Genomic DNA, 14943 nt, shown 5'->3' with positions numbered 1-14943 from the left:
CTGAGCTGTTGCTGGAGGGCAGTGGGATGGAGAGAGGTCAAGCAACAGGGAGGCTTGGTGCCTGCCCTGGCTCTGCCACTCCTGTGCCGTGAACTTTAGGGCCACTGCTTTTCCTCTCTGTGAGCATAGCTCCTCTTCCCAGTTTCTTCTTCTCTCCCTCTTCATACCAATGGGCAGTGAGAACCCGTACAATCTCCTCAGTAAAGGTTCTTTGAAAGACAAATGTTCTAGAAATTTCAGGTAATCTGGGGTTCTTCAGGAGCAGATTTTGGAGATACAACAGAACATGGAGAAGCATGTTAAGAAGTTTATTTTATAGACCACAGCAGAAATTCCAGCCAAGTTTCTTTAGAGGAAATCACCTGGGTGTGGCAAACAGACAGGGCTTCCATTATTCTACCTTTAGGATTTCAATAGTATAAAACCGGTTGTTTTTGATGGGGATTACAGCAGCATCATCAGGGCAGATGCCTAATTCCCGAATAACATCAACGACGGCTGCAATTTGCACAGTTCCTGAAAAAGACAGGGACGGAGATCATCTCTCAGACACCCCGGCCATGTCCTGTCTTTTCTACTCATATCAGGCATCTGCCCCCTGGGGTTCAGTTTCCCCAAATCCTTTGCAAATTTGTCTCCTGTATCAACTTTTTGCACTCAATGCCTCTGTCTTAGAACCTGGGTGCTTTCCCCATCTGCTCTCCCCATGCTCTTCCCTCCCTCCCTTCTGTCCTTCTGCCCTGAGGTCCTGGTCCTGCTCGGTTCGCAGCCATGTTTCTGTTTATAGTTTCTCCTCCCTGGTGGCTGGTGGGTAGTTCCCTCCTTGGACAACTTCTGTACTTACTGTTGGTGTAAAAGTCCCAGTAGAAGGTTTTTGGATTGTCGTCACATAGGCAGGCAGTATACTTATAGTTAAATGCACCTTGTAGAGGGATGCTGCTAATGAGGTAAGTTTTAACCTGGTGAGGAGAAGGTGGGAGGGGGAATTCATTGTTATTTTGGGGAATGGGTAAGGGAGGGAAAAATAGGAGAGGGAAAAGCCGGAGGAGAAGAGTGGGGGTGGAGGTGGGCCTAGGGCAAGGGGGAGTCTACTGTTGTAGTATCATTTCAGGAGCCAAAGTCTAGGTCAGAAGGTTTTCCCTTCCAATGCCCTCAAACTCCTGCCTTAGCAGTGTGGAGAAGCTCAGGAGGAGATAGGGATGCAAGTGAATCCACAGGGCAAGGAGAGCTCATCCAGGGCAGCTGTCCAGCTGAGGAGCAGGCTTGCCTTAGTCACCAGCCAGAGGTTTCAGGAATCGACCTGCAATCACGTTTACTCTGAGACCTGGTGAGACAGCAGCCTGGCCACTTGCGTGTAGGAGCCAATGTCAGGCCTTGTTGTCAGAGCTGTGACCAAGCCCCATCTGTGCTCCTCTCTGACTTGGTGACCTTTGGTGATGAGAGGCCTCTCACTCTCACTTTCCTCAGGTATGAGGTGGAAACAATTAACTACCAAACCTGGCTGTTAGATAAGCAAATAACATCTTGAATGTAAATTTCTTTTTAACTTGAGTGCTTTGCAATTCAAGATCCCAGATTATTGTATATATAAATTTCAGTGGAGTCAGAGGATTTTGTCCAGTTAACGTTTAACACAGCAGTTTTATCCTGGGGTCCATAGACCCAGAGGGATCTGTGGATAGCATTCAGTGAGTCTGTGGACTCAGGCAGGGGAAAAATATGCATCTTTATTACTAACCTCTAATTGAAATTCAGCATTCCTTCTGTTATGAATGTCATCAAGGAACCACAGTGCCATTAGCAGTATGTGTGATTTTATCACAAGGAGAAAAGTAGATATGTACATATCATTGCACGGATCCAGAGGTCCGAAATACAGCCTGAATGTACTACCTTGAATGTATGGCAGTTATCAGACTGGCTCATGGTCACGACTGAGGCCCAGTGCCATTCTGCCCACCTCCTGCAGCTTGCTCAGCTACCTGGCAACTCAGCATCAAGTAGCCGTTCAGACCTAAACAGTAAATTCAGGTGTTCTCACCCTTGGAGTTTTACTCAGAATGCCTTGGAGAATCCTGGCGTTTCTTTGGAGAAGACTACCTGTGCCTTGTTTCCCTTTTTTTTTTTTTTCTAAGAGACAGAGTCTCACTCTGTTGCCCAGGCTGGAGTGCAATGGTGCGAACGTGGCTCACTGCAACCTCCGCCTCCCAGGTTCAAGTGATTCTTCTGCCTCAGCCTCCTGAGTAGCTGGGATTACAGGTGCGTGCTACCAGCCCTGGCTAATTTTTGTATTTTTAGTAGAGACAGGGTTTCACCATGTTGGCCAAGCTGGTCTCGAACTCCTGACCTCAGGTGATCTGCCCACTTTGGCCTCCCAAAGTGCTGGGATTACAGGCACAAGCCACTGTGCCCGGCCTTGTTTACCTTTCTGTTACATTAGCAACAACATATCGTCATGAATCAGAATTTACACCACTTGTACAATAAAAGATCAGAATCCGTTGCATGCCTAGCATGGCACGTGGGACGTGTTGCCAAAGACCAGTGCAGTTTAATGTACTTCTTCAAGCTAAGTAACAACATCCATCACACAGATAATGTGTTCATAGAATAAAATTCAACTCTTCTATATTTTAAATGTATTGCTTTCCCAGCTAATGTGTGCATAAAGAAACACATACCTTACTGCATCACAAATTTATTTTTTACAAGTTAGTCACTGTTACTCAATGTGGTAGTTTCTCTCTGTAATCCAATGCACTTTATACATTTAGAAGCAATTTTCTGATAAATGTTTCATAAACTTCATGAAACCAACGAAATGGCCTGTAGCACAAAAATGTTTAAGCATTGTTTTTGCCACAAGTTTCCTTCAGCTTTAAAGGATTATGCAATCTTTATATTCAAATATACGATTGTAGGTATATTCTATTCTAATTCTAAAATAAATAAATATGAGTCTAAACCTCACTTTTTCAAAAATTCAGTTACAGAAAACATTATAAATGATAAAAAATGAGGATTAGATGGTAAGAATTTTATAGTTATATAAATATATTTTAATAAAAATTTAAAAATAGTTATACTTTGAAAAATGAAGCCACAAATAAAAATTTGTTGACTAGAATTAACAAAATTTCCTTTCCTGTAAATTATTTCTAGTTTGCAAAGTCAGTTAGTCTAAAGATTTCTTATTCTTTTAGTTGTGCTTAGGTGGGTTTTGAAAAGATTGCTTTATTTTAGAGTACTAGCATGATTCTTAAAAGCATACTTTTATTAATCACAAAAGCACAAAATTATGTCACATGTAATTTTATTGATTCAAACATATCTTATTATACCTACCACTACCATTAACTATTACCACCAGAAACCACCATTTTCACAAAAATTTTATGTACACATTATGTACATGTTCTTATTCTCATTCTCACCTGTGTTTGTGATAAACAAAATACAGAGTTGAAAAATTATGATTCAGCCTTGCTCCTACCCCAAATTAGTGTACATGTCTCAGATTCTTGGACTGAAAATAGAAAAATTTGACAAAGCAGCTGTGATATTCTTTGCTCATTGACCAGGAATTTTTCTTTACAGGTGTGGGGATATTTCTAGAATGCAGTTGACTGAATAGCAATCTTCATGTTCTCAATGTTGTTTTACATGTAATCATTGTCCTTAAGTCTCATTTGAATTAGGAAACTTATGTTGTAAGGAAATACTTGTGCTGCCTGATAGAAGGTGTCCTTCATGAAGGGTCTGGGGAGGGAGTAGGGGAGATGGGAGATGCATGGGTCTTGGCCCTAGAACAAAGGTAGTGGGGGCAGTTTGCATGCTTGTGACATCTGAGATCAATGACTAGGAAAAGGACACACAACCAGTGTCCCAGGGAAGAGTCACTGTGGATTAATAACTGCATAAGTCTATTTGACTTCTGGCCCTTGGCAGCTAGACAGGAGGGATAATGCTCTAATCCCAAGCTGCTCAAAAATGTGATCCTTTGGGCACAGCCTTGGTGTACCTTGGGCGTCTGTTAAAATCCAGAAGTTCTAATCTCTCCCCAGACCTGCTGAATGAAACTCTGAATTTTAACAAGATCCCCGAGTGAGTTTTAGACACATTACCATTTGAAAACCTCTGACCTTGTTCAGAGATTGGACTTCTGAACGTGGGGAAAAGGAGGAGATGATTACGAGCTCCTTGTCAGGGTGGGGAGGCTGGAACAAGAGTCCACTTCTGGTGACCCAGAGCAAAGGAGCAGAAGAAGGCAAGAGGACAGTAGAGTCGCTCAGTGCTTACTGGAGAGGAGGAGTCATATCCTGCATGTCCTCTTCTGCCCACCCACCTCAACCTATGGTGTGGAGTTGCTGCTTTCTCTTCTGAGAACTCCCCTCCCTCCATCCTAAACTAAACATGCTCAGGACCTTGGAAGGACTCTAACTGCTTCTCTACTAGCTCTTACACTTTTTTCTTTTTCCCTCTTTCTCACTTCCTATTCCTTCTTCCTTTCCTTCTTATTTATCCTAGACTTCTCTGGATTCGAACTTCTTCATCTGGAAAATGAGAAGTCATCTGTCCCAAGCTCCCACAGTTGTTCTGAGTCTCAAGTAGCATAACATAAGTGAGAATGTTTCATTAAGTACACTGTACATTATTAAAGTGAGAGATTAAATTATGTTTATAATCAAGGAGTTGAATTATCTTTTGAAGTCACGCCCCCAGTCCTCTACTTACCACCATGCATTCTTTCAATTCTGTTTGAACTGCAAGCACTGCAGTGACTTCGTCATTTGGACGTACTGACTTGGGAATGTCAAAATTCTTTATTATGATCTTCCGACTGATTGTGGGAAGAGAGAATCAGAACACCAGGATCAGAGACCAATCTTTGAGTGAGGGGGGAGCCATGAACAGGGCAAGGGGCACAGGATGGGCAAGGGAGGGAAATTATGGGGCTTGGATCAATTGTTCAGCATTGGAATCCCCTGGAATTTTCATGTGTTGATTGGATTGGTAACTTCACACAGATTTAATTTTGTTTAATAAAACAACTAGGACACTTTAAGATTCCTTAAAGAACTAAAAGTAGAACTACCATTTGATCCAGCAATCCCACTACTGGGTATCTACCCAGAGGAAAAGAAGTCATTATTTAGAAAAGATACTTGCACATGCATGTTTATAGTAGCACAATTCACAATTGCAAAATCATGGAACCAACCCAAATGCCCATCAATGAACGAGCATCTTCTTCCCTTCCATTGACCAAAAACAAGTTTTTAAAAAGAAAAAATGTACAATACCACATGCCACTTCCTGATAACATCCTACAGGCTCTGGTGGTTGTCTACTGAGTAGGAGGGCTCAAGTCATTATTAGGAGAAAATTTTCTAGCAACAGAATCACATTAAACCAGCAAACCTCTTGATCAGGGAAATGCAAATCAAAACCACAATGCGATACCACCTTACTCCTGCAAGAATGGCCGTAATCAAAAAATCATAAAACAGTAGATGTTGGCGTGGATGCAGTGATCAGGGGACACTTCTATACTGCTGACGGGAATGTAAACTGCTACAACCACTATGTAAAACAGTGTGGAGATTCCTTAAAGAACTAAAAATAGAACCACCATTTGATCCAGCAATCCCACTACTGGGTATCTACCCAGAGGAAAAGAAGTCATTATTCAAAAAAGATACTTGCACACACATGTTTATAGCAGCACAATTCACAATTATAAAACTGTGGAACCAACCCAAATGCCCATCAATCAACGAGTGGATAAAGAAACTGTGGTATATATATATATATATATATATATATATATATATATATATATATATATATGATGGAATACTACTACTCAGCCATAATAAGGAATGAATTAACAGCATTTGCAGTGACCTGTATGAGATTGGAGACTATTATTCTAAGTGAAGTAACTCAGTAATGGAAAACCAAACATCGTATGTTCTCACTGATATGTGGGAGCTAAGCTTTGAGGACTCAAAAGCATAAGAATGATACAATGGACTTTGGGGACTTGCGGGGAAGAGTGGGAGAGGGGTGAGGGCTAAAAGACTACAAATATGGTGCAGTGTATACTGCTCGGGTGATGGGTGCACCAAAATCTCATCACCACTAAAGAACTTACTCATGTAACCAAATACCACTTGTACCCCAGTAACTTATGGAAAAATAAAATAAAATAATAAAAAATTTTAAAAACCCAGCAAACATCTCAATGCACTGGAGGTATTTGTAGGAGCATCTTTGAAGATCCTCCTTCTGTGGTCCCCAGGTAGGGTTTAGGAATTTGTATTTATTTAGCTCCTTAGGAAATTTGGACATATGGCCATGTTTGGGAACTTTAGATACTACTCTACATTTAGACCATACACTGCAATCTGAAAAGGAAAGGAAATGGAGACAAATAAAATGGTCAAATGTTCTTCTTCAGTCAATGAGGACTGGGTTCGGGGCCAGGAGAGTTATTTTCTCGTCCCTAGAAACTCCCGGCTACGGACCTTTGTTATTGTGTGGGACAGAAGGGAATTGAGATTCTTAGCCCACAGTGTCTCACAGCCCCATTTTCTTGGGGCAAAGCATCTTAGAGAGATTCTATTTTTTGGTGCCAACTGCTGTAGTGCCCAGTGCACAGGAAAAGGGTATAAATACCTAAGCAACTTCAAAATCTCTCCCATTTGTATATGAGTTTCAGATTGATAGGATGACCAGCTTAGTTCGAGTGACTAACCATCTCAGTTTACCCAGGACTGAGGTCTTTTCCAGAATGGGTTGTGGAGGTGGCGGGGGAGGGCAGAGTTGCAGTGCTACAACCAGGAAAGTTCTGGGCAAATCAGGATGGATGGTTGATAACCTAATTAGCATAGCTTATTTGAATACCTTGCTGCCCTTCAGGGCTAAGTGGACTGTCATCTGGCGGGAATGGGGTGGGATCTGAACCTGTCCCCATGCAGGGTTTCTTGGGACACTTGCCTCCATTACATTAGCTTGTCAAAACCCTGAACAGTTTCCTCCAGGACAGGATATCTGACCATGCCATAGAGAGTACCTCCAAGATCACAACCCAGAAACCCAGCATTATAAACCCTACTGCTATAGAGAAAACTCCCTAGATTGGGTATCGCTGCTTTCTCCCAGACCCTTGGCTCCATTTTCTACTTTATTTTACTTGCTCCAATTTTTCTGCTTCCTTCACACATGTGTTCTCAATAAGTTGACTTCTGAACCTGTGCTCTCAGGTCCCAGTATACGTGAGAGCAAGAGGTCATCATATTCATCTTCAGACTTCAGGTTAGGAAGAATGTCTAAGCTGCCAGTCTAGCTCAATCTCAGACCACAGGGCAGTGGCCAGGGCCTCTGGTCCTTTAGCCAGTCCTGCCAAAGCTGCCCTAAGCTGCCATTGGAATTCACAGACCTGTTATGCTTCTCTTCTAGGAGGCAAGGTGTGAGAAGGTAAAGTTTACTGAGCAGAAATCTGAACAAAGGTATAAATTATGAACAAGATGTGGATCAGCATGTTAGATGAAGACTAACTACTAATTACAGCCTGTAGGTACATTTGGAGCTTTATTTCCACTGGCAATGCAGAAACACCCAGCAAAAATGTGAGAGGAGTTGGTGGGGCTTCCTAAGAGGACAAGAAGTGGAACCTGGCAGGAGATCCATGGGAGCTCCTGGGACTAGAGTTCTGGGAAGTTGAAAGAAATTCTCAGAAAGAGATATGTAATTTCCAGACTGGGAGAGGAGCCCTCCCTGCAATTTTTTTTGTGGGGAGGAGAAGGGCATGGCTCACGTGTTGTCCTGAGCTTTGTTGGCCCCCAACTGCAGGCAGAGAACCAGGAGCAGGGTGGCAGGGCTGGCCCTGAACAGGAGCTGGAGCAAGCGCATGCTGGAGAAAACAGAAGGCAATGTGTCCCAGAGAAGTGGTGTCCCAGGTGCCCAGCACATTTCTTATATACAGATTGATCAAGGAAGTGCAAGAGCTGCCAGGGAGATCCATGAGGTGAATCACCCATTCACCCTCCCCACTCGTGATCTTTCCTTGTTGACCCAAAGTTTGTTTTTCTAAGAAAAAATCAACACTCAGCTAGAATGTCAGCGTTTGAGAGAGGAGTCAGATTGTTCTTCCTTATTTTTTCAGCATCAGAGTTTCTCAAAATGGCTGGGACCTCAAAAGATACACCAGTTTTTCCCGAGTTTACAGATTCAGTTTTCTTTTCCCTCCTAATTTGCCTGTCTGAAGTGCTATGTGTAGTCTTAGCTTCAGTCACTGCTCCCCTGGTCTCTGAAAGCAGAGAACACAGCTGTGGTGGCAGGTTTCAGACCAGAGACATAGAACATCTTTGCTTGATCAAATTATAGTGAGTTCAAGATGCAATGCTATTCAAAACATTTCTTGGAGGGCTAGGATGATCAGGACTTCCCTAGCAGTCACTACCCATCATGAGGTGGAAGAGCTAGAGAAGACCTGAGCTGCTCTACATGATGGGGAAGTGAGTTCAAGACACTGGGTGATGTAAAGATGTTTATTGTCATTGAGTCCTTCTTAATTTCAGGTGTGGTTGCAATATACTGCAGATGTCCAAGATCCCCAGCTGCCCCACAATCCCCAAGGCAGGGTGATATTTTAATTCTAGACAATTCCTATAAATAGCTGGCACCCCCAAATCAGACTTCTTGGCACCAAAGAGCTGGCTTATTTTCTTATTGACATGGCCACTTTCTTACACTTGTCTCATGCGTAAGCCACACAGGAAGAACCACAGTGGAAAGGATTCCTTCTGTGAGAATGGAGCCCACATTATGTCCAGTAGATACCCAGGTTGTAGAATTCCTCTCCTTGGGATGATGGGGAGACTTGCTCTTGCTGACACTGGCATTGTGTTATTTCTCCTTATGAAATTAAATCTGCTCCTTAACCTATGACTTACAATACTATGGGATTTGTTTCTATCATTTGCATGGCACACAGCTGCCCAGGAAGAGCCTCTCTGGCAACAGAGTGAAAATCAGAGTTCTAGGAGTTACCGCCTCTGTATGTTGCTTTAGCCAGGATTCAGAGCTAAAGTGTAAGTGTGTGCTTCTGCTTTCTGGATGTATCTCTCAAAATTGCTCTGTCTGTTTATTCAGCTCCTGGATCTACCTTCTCTTTTCTTTGAATTGGACACCATTCATGTCATTGCTCACTCAGAACTTCAGCTGTTCTCATGATCACATGCTTTCTTCCCTGTTTATGTCCTATCCACTCAAGAACACTGCTTGTGAGGGTCACAATGACCTTCCTTTGTAAGCCTTTTCCCACAATTAAATTGTCTTTACACCTGGTCCTTCTCACTTGCATAATTTCCATTTGAAGCACATCCTAGCTACACTGACCAAGGCAGGCATAAGGCAGAAGAATCTAGGAAGTGTCTGTGTGGGAAAATGCAGGAAAAGTTCTTTGCTTGGCTCTTTGAAGGCATAGCCCTGTCCTTGAGGATGCAACTCCAGCACTCCCAAAAGGCAGTGTCCAGAGGAAGGCAGATGACGATGGGTTAAGAGCATCTATTGAAGGTAATGAGGCTGTTCTTCTGTGAGCTAGCAGGAAACTGCAATACCTACAATGTACAGGACAATCTTTTTTTTTTGAGACAGAATCTCACTCATCCAGGCTGGAGTGCAGTGGCATGATCTCAGCTCACTGCAGCCTCCACCTCCCGGGTTCAGGAAATTCTCATGCCTCAGCCACCCGAGTAGTGGGGATTATAGGCAGGTGCCACCATACCCGGCTAATTTTTGTATTTTTGGTAGAGATGGGGTTTCACCATGTTGGCCAAGCTGATCTTACATTCCTGACCTCAAGTGATCCACCTGCCTCGGCCTCCCAAATTGCTGGGATTACAGGTGTGAGCCACTGTGCCTGGCCTAGGACAAGTCTTATTCAGGCCATGACTGCTGTGATGGTTACTTTTATTTGTTAGCTTAGCTAGGCATGGTGCCCACTTTTTGGAAAAACAACAGTTTAGAAGTTGCTGTGAAGTTGTTGTTTGTTTGTTTGTTTTAAATGTGATTAACATTTAAATCAGTAAAATTTGAGTAAAACAGATTACCTCCATAATATGGGTCAGACTCATTGGATCAGTTGAAAGTCTTAAGAGAAAAGCTTGAGGTCCCTTGAGGAAGAAGATTAGGGAGAAAAAGAAACCATAATTATTATGCCATAAAGAATGAACAAGTCTAGGTTTAAGAAATCAGATAAAGGTTGATAAAATCAGATTGTAAACAACTCAGGAAGCTTACAGAAGAGAATGTGTATAGTCCCATAGGGAAAGAGTTAGAATATAGGTGAGGCTTGCCACAGGCTAAGTTTACAAAGAGAAAGATAATCTTAGTCCTGACAGGGCTCATGAGAAGAAGATAAGGAGTGGACAGAGAGGGAGTTATAGACACCAACACACATGAAGCATATGCTGTGTGCATTACACTGCTCTAAACATTTTAACATATATTAGCTCAATCTTTATTACAACCCTGTGAAGGTGGTTGCCATTTTTATTCCATTTTACAAGAGGAGAAACAGAGACCCAGGAGATAAATATCTAACCCAGACCATATAGCCAGTATATGGCAGAGTCAACTTTGCAAGCAGGTTTTGTGGAATCTGAGTTTTGATTTACAGTATCTGAGAACCTCTTTTTGAAATAGAATCCAAACTTACAAATGTAAACTACAGGTACAGGATCTTGGAGGAGGCACCCATAAGTAGGAAGCCCTGAGGCTTCATGCCATTAACTTAATGGCGAATACACCTTTGGGTGGGGCCAGAATTTCCACGCTGGCAGTCTGGCCCTGGAACATGACCCTTTAACCACTGCACTGCCTACTGGCGAGAACAAGTTGCAAAGTTAGTAACTGGCAGAGTTAGGGGTTCAAAATCAAGTAGTCTGATACCAGAGTTTATGTCCTTAAACACTTGTCTAGTCTATTTATTGATGTAGCAACAGTTTAAAGTTGAGAAAAGGAAACTCACAGAGGTTTTAATAAGTTGTTCAAGTCACAGAGCCAACAAATAACAAAGGTATTGAAGTTTGGCTTGGCCATATGACTAAGCCAAACCATTGGAACCCAGATAGAAGTGAATCCGGAGTTGGCACTTAGAGTGACTACTCTATATTTCCTCTTACTTAATAAAAGCATAATTGGCACAAGACTTGTAGAAGGGCATCTAATGCATACTGAAGATGTAAGATGTAATGAGTTGTTTCTTAGAGGAGGTTATATCCAAGCAAAATCTCTCAGAGGTGAGAGAAGCTGGAGTGTGACTCTTTTCTTAGAAACTCTGTCATCTTTAGTGTCATTTCTTTCTTTCTTCCTTTTTTTTTTTTTTTTTTTTTGGTGGAGTTGCACTCTTGTCACTCAGGCTGGAGTGCAGTGGCGCAATCTCGGCTCACCGCAACCTCCACCTCTTAAGTTCAAGTGATTCTCCTGTCTCAGCCTCCTGAGTAACTGGGATTACAGGTGCCTGCCACCACACCCAGCTAATTATTTTTATTTTTAGTAGAGACGGGGTTTCACCATGTTGTCCAGGCTGGTCTCAAACTCCTGACCTCAGGTGATCCACCCCCCCTTGGCCTCCCAAAGGGCTGGGATTACAGGCGTGAGCCACAATGCCTGGCCTTTAGTGTCATTTCTAAGGTCACCCTGGTGATGTAGGGGCCAAGGGAAAACTTTTTTTCTGCCTTCTGAAGTTTCACTGAGAAATAAACTGACAAAAAGTAGATTAATAGGAGAAATGGCATACAAGTTTATTAACGTGCATGGGAGAGAATGATGACCTCCAACTCCTCAGTGGGAGTACAGAAGCTCATGTACCATCTTGAGGTTACAAAAGAATGAGGTCTTGGAGCATGGCCAAAACCAGGTTATGGTAGTAAATCAGGTTACAGTGGTGCTACAGGTTATGGGAGGGGAAAAGAGGAAGCCTGGCTAGCAAAGGTGGTCTTGCTATTGTCGACCAAAAGAGTTAAACTCTGTAAAATATTTTAGGAGATTTATTCTAAGCCATATATGAGTGATCATGGCCTGTGACACAGCCCTCAGGAGGTCCTGAGAACATGTGCCCAAGGAGGTGGGGGTACAGCTTGGTTTATATATTTTAAGTGAGGCATGAGACATCCATCAAATACATTTAAGAAAGACATTGGTTTGGTTCAGAAAGGTGGGACAACTCAAAGGGCAGGGGCGGGGGGAGGGGTCTAGGCTATAGGTAAATTTAAACATTTTCTGTTTGACAATTAGTTGAGTTTATCTGAAGACCTGGGGTCAATAGAAAGAAAATGTTCAGGTTAAGATAAAGGATTGTGGAGATCAAGTTTTACTGTGCAGAAGAAGCTCTCAGATAGCAGACTTCAGAGATAGCAGGTGGTAAAATGTTTCTTATCGGACTTAAAAGGGTGCCTGGCTCATAGGTGATTATCTCCTGGATCTGGAAAGGAAGGAAGGAAAAGAAAGGAGTAAGGGGATTCTCTATAGAATGTGGATTTTTCCCACAAGAGACTTTGCAGGGCAATTTCAAGGCATGGCAAGGAAATGTATTTGGGGGTAAAACATTTTGATTTTCTTCCTTGTTATGCCAGAGTCAGATTGGAAAGTAAGTCACCATATACAGGGTTAAAATAAAACCCATCTGATGAGCATTTATGGTCTCCAGACCCCTTAGATAGGAATTTGGCCAAGATTAAAACAAACAAATACACACACACAAAAACAGAGCTTAGTCCTCACTATGCAGGTGAAATCTCACAGATAGTAGCCCTCAGAGAGAATAGGTAAATGTTTCTTTCAGACCTTTAAAGGTATCAGACTCTCAGTTAATCTTTCCTAGATCTGCAAGGGAGGACCTCAGGAAAAGCCTGTTGCATCAATGCAGATTCTCTAGAGACACAAATCTCCCCACAAAAGACAGCTTTGCAGCACTGCTTCTGTTTGCAGATCCTCTAACAGCCATCTCAAAGTATGTCAAAGGAGTATATTTTTGGGTGAAATAGTTTTGTTTTCTTCAGGTATTAGTATTCAGCTTTTAAGAGGTGAAAGAGAGAATGGAGAATTATGGAGTGTTTTATTTTTTTTTTAATGGGCAAGATTTGGAAGTGGCTTCCAAATCATAGAATGTCATTCATTCTTTGTCCCCGTTGCCACAGCTTAGTCCTGTAGCCAAATCAAACTGCAGGAGAGATTGGGAAATTTAGCATACCTGTATGCTTAGGAGGAAAGGGAAACAGATTTGGTAAGTTGCTGTGTTCCTTTACATATGTGGTATGTGTATCTGTGTTTTTTATAGAGAATGTCATCCTAAAATAATCAAAAACATCAGAGTGTAGTTGAAAGAGAGTTTATTCAAGCACAGTGCTTGAGGATGTACCCACCAGCAAGCACAGATTCCAAAGAATGGAAGTCAGTGTTCCAAAGTATAAAAGTTTCAGATCATTTATACAGATAAAGTTCAGGGAAGTTTAGCAGAATTTCAACACCTTTCTATGGAAGGCTTAATGCATAGTTACAATGATCTGATTAGTTGAGGTGTTTTTTTTCTTTCTGGAAAGATATCTCTAACATTCCACACTGAAGATGTAACCCTCAGGGGGTCTGTTTTGAGGATGCAATCTGGTCTGAGTTAGGTACAGAACAATAGAGGAAGCAGTTAATCTAGAATAAATATCAGTGATTGGAAGGAGGAAGTCTGTTCTCTGGTCTTTCTTAGTCATTTACAGAACCAGAACAATGAGGAAGACGGTTAAGCTGTAATCTAAGAAGCAGAATTGCAAAACATGCTACATGACTCAGATCACAGTAGCAGCTCTCTCAAAGTTTAAGGAGTTTGCAGTGTTCTAACAGATTTTAAATTTTATTCATTTTCACAAAAATATCAAAATGTTTTCCAAAGTTGTGGTGCCATTTTATACACTGCACAACAGTTTCCCAATATTTAATATTGTCAATACTTTTAATCTTGGCTTTTCTGGTGGATATGTAGTGGAGCTTGTTGTGATTTACTTTGAATGTTTGTGATTATTAGTGGTATTTAGCCTTTTTATATGTCATCTGGATATTATATATTCTCTTTTGTGAGGTGCCTATTCAAGCCTTTGCTTGTTTTTCAATTGTAACTGCCTGAGAGGTTCTTTCTGCCTGCTGCACAAAGAAAGACCATGGCATTGCAGTAAAGAAAGTTTAATAGACCTGAGACTGGCCACACCACGTGGGACATGGAAGTAGTACTCAAATCAATCTCCTCCAAGCTCATAGTTAAGAGGATTTTTTCAAAGCCAGTTTAGGGAAAGGGTGGCAGTGGCCAGGTAATGGATGCTTGCTGATGATTGGTTGGGTTGGAGGTGAAATCATATGGGTTGAAGCTGTCCTTGTAAACACCCAAGGGGTTCACCTTGCCTGCTGCCTAGACAAAGTGCCAATTCATCAAGACAGGACTTGCAATAGAGAAAGAGTAATTCATGCAGAGCAGGCTGTATGGGAGACTGGAGTTTTATTATTACTCAAATCAGTCTCACAAGATAATTTCTTATCTTGTGGCTAATGTTAGTCCTACAAAGGCAATCTTGTCCCCCAGCAAGAAGGTCTGCTTTGGGAAAGGGCTGTCTGTGTTTTAAACTATAAACTAAGTTTCTCCCAAAGTTAGTTTCAGAAATTCTCCTTGTTGTATCTGAAAATATGCCATTCCAGTGAAAGCCTTGAATAGGCAGTGTCTCCAATTGTGTCCTGCTACAAAGAAAAACAGATTCTTATTGAACTCATGAAAATAACAATATTGCCATGAAATAATAATGTTCTTGAATAGCTTCTAAATTCTGGAGAAATCAGGTAGAGAGAAAGGTAAATGTCTCAATTTGCTCACGAAAGTTTACTTTACCTATTGCTATA

The 14943-nt window shown here is 41.8% G+C and overlaps 1 protein-coding gene across 1 annotated transcript, besides 1 other annotated feature; it reads right to left on the bottom strand.

The window, feature by feature from the left end:
• Positions 1–294: 294 nt before the first annotated feature.
• PIP (prolactin induced protein) lies at positions 295–7957 on the bottom strand. The gene is made up of 4 exons (NM_002652.3): positions 7823–7957; positions 4735–4840; positions 845–959; positions 295–516 (listed from the first exon to the last, which is right to left on the bottom strand). The coding sequence occupies exons 1-4, from the start codon at positions 7915–7917 to the stop codon at positions 392–394; spliced, it is 441 nt and encodes a 146-aa protein (NP_002643.1). The 5' UTR covers positions 7918–7957; the 3' UTR covers positions 295–391.
• Positions 13732–13932: a silencer, noted in NCBI's record as "peak6806 fragment used in MPRA reporter construct". NCBI's record gives its function as "represses an SCP1 promoter by STARR-seq MPRAs in K562 erythroleukemia cells {active_cell/tissue: K562}" and the evidence as "EXISTENCE:reporter gene assay evidence [ECO:0000049][PMID:32103011]".

The sequence above is a fragment of the Homo sapiens genome, chromosome 7 (genome assembly GCF_000001405.40).
Source record: "Homo sapiens chromosome 7, GRCh38.p14 Primary Assembly".
Classification (NCBI taxonomy): Eukaryota; Metazoa; Chordata; class Mammalia; order Primates; family Hominidae; genus Homo; species Homo sapiens.
The sequence above is the reverse complement of the archived record's forward strand: the minus strand, read 5'-3'. Positions and strand labels throughout refer to the sequence as shown.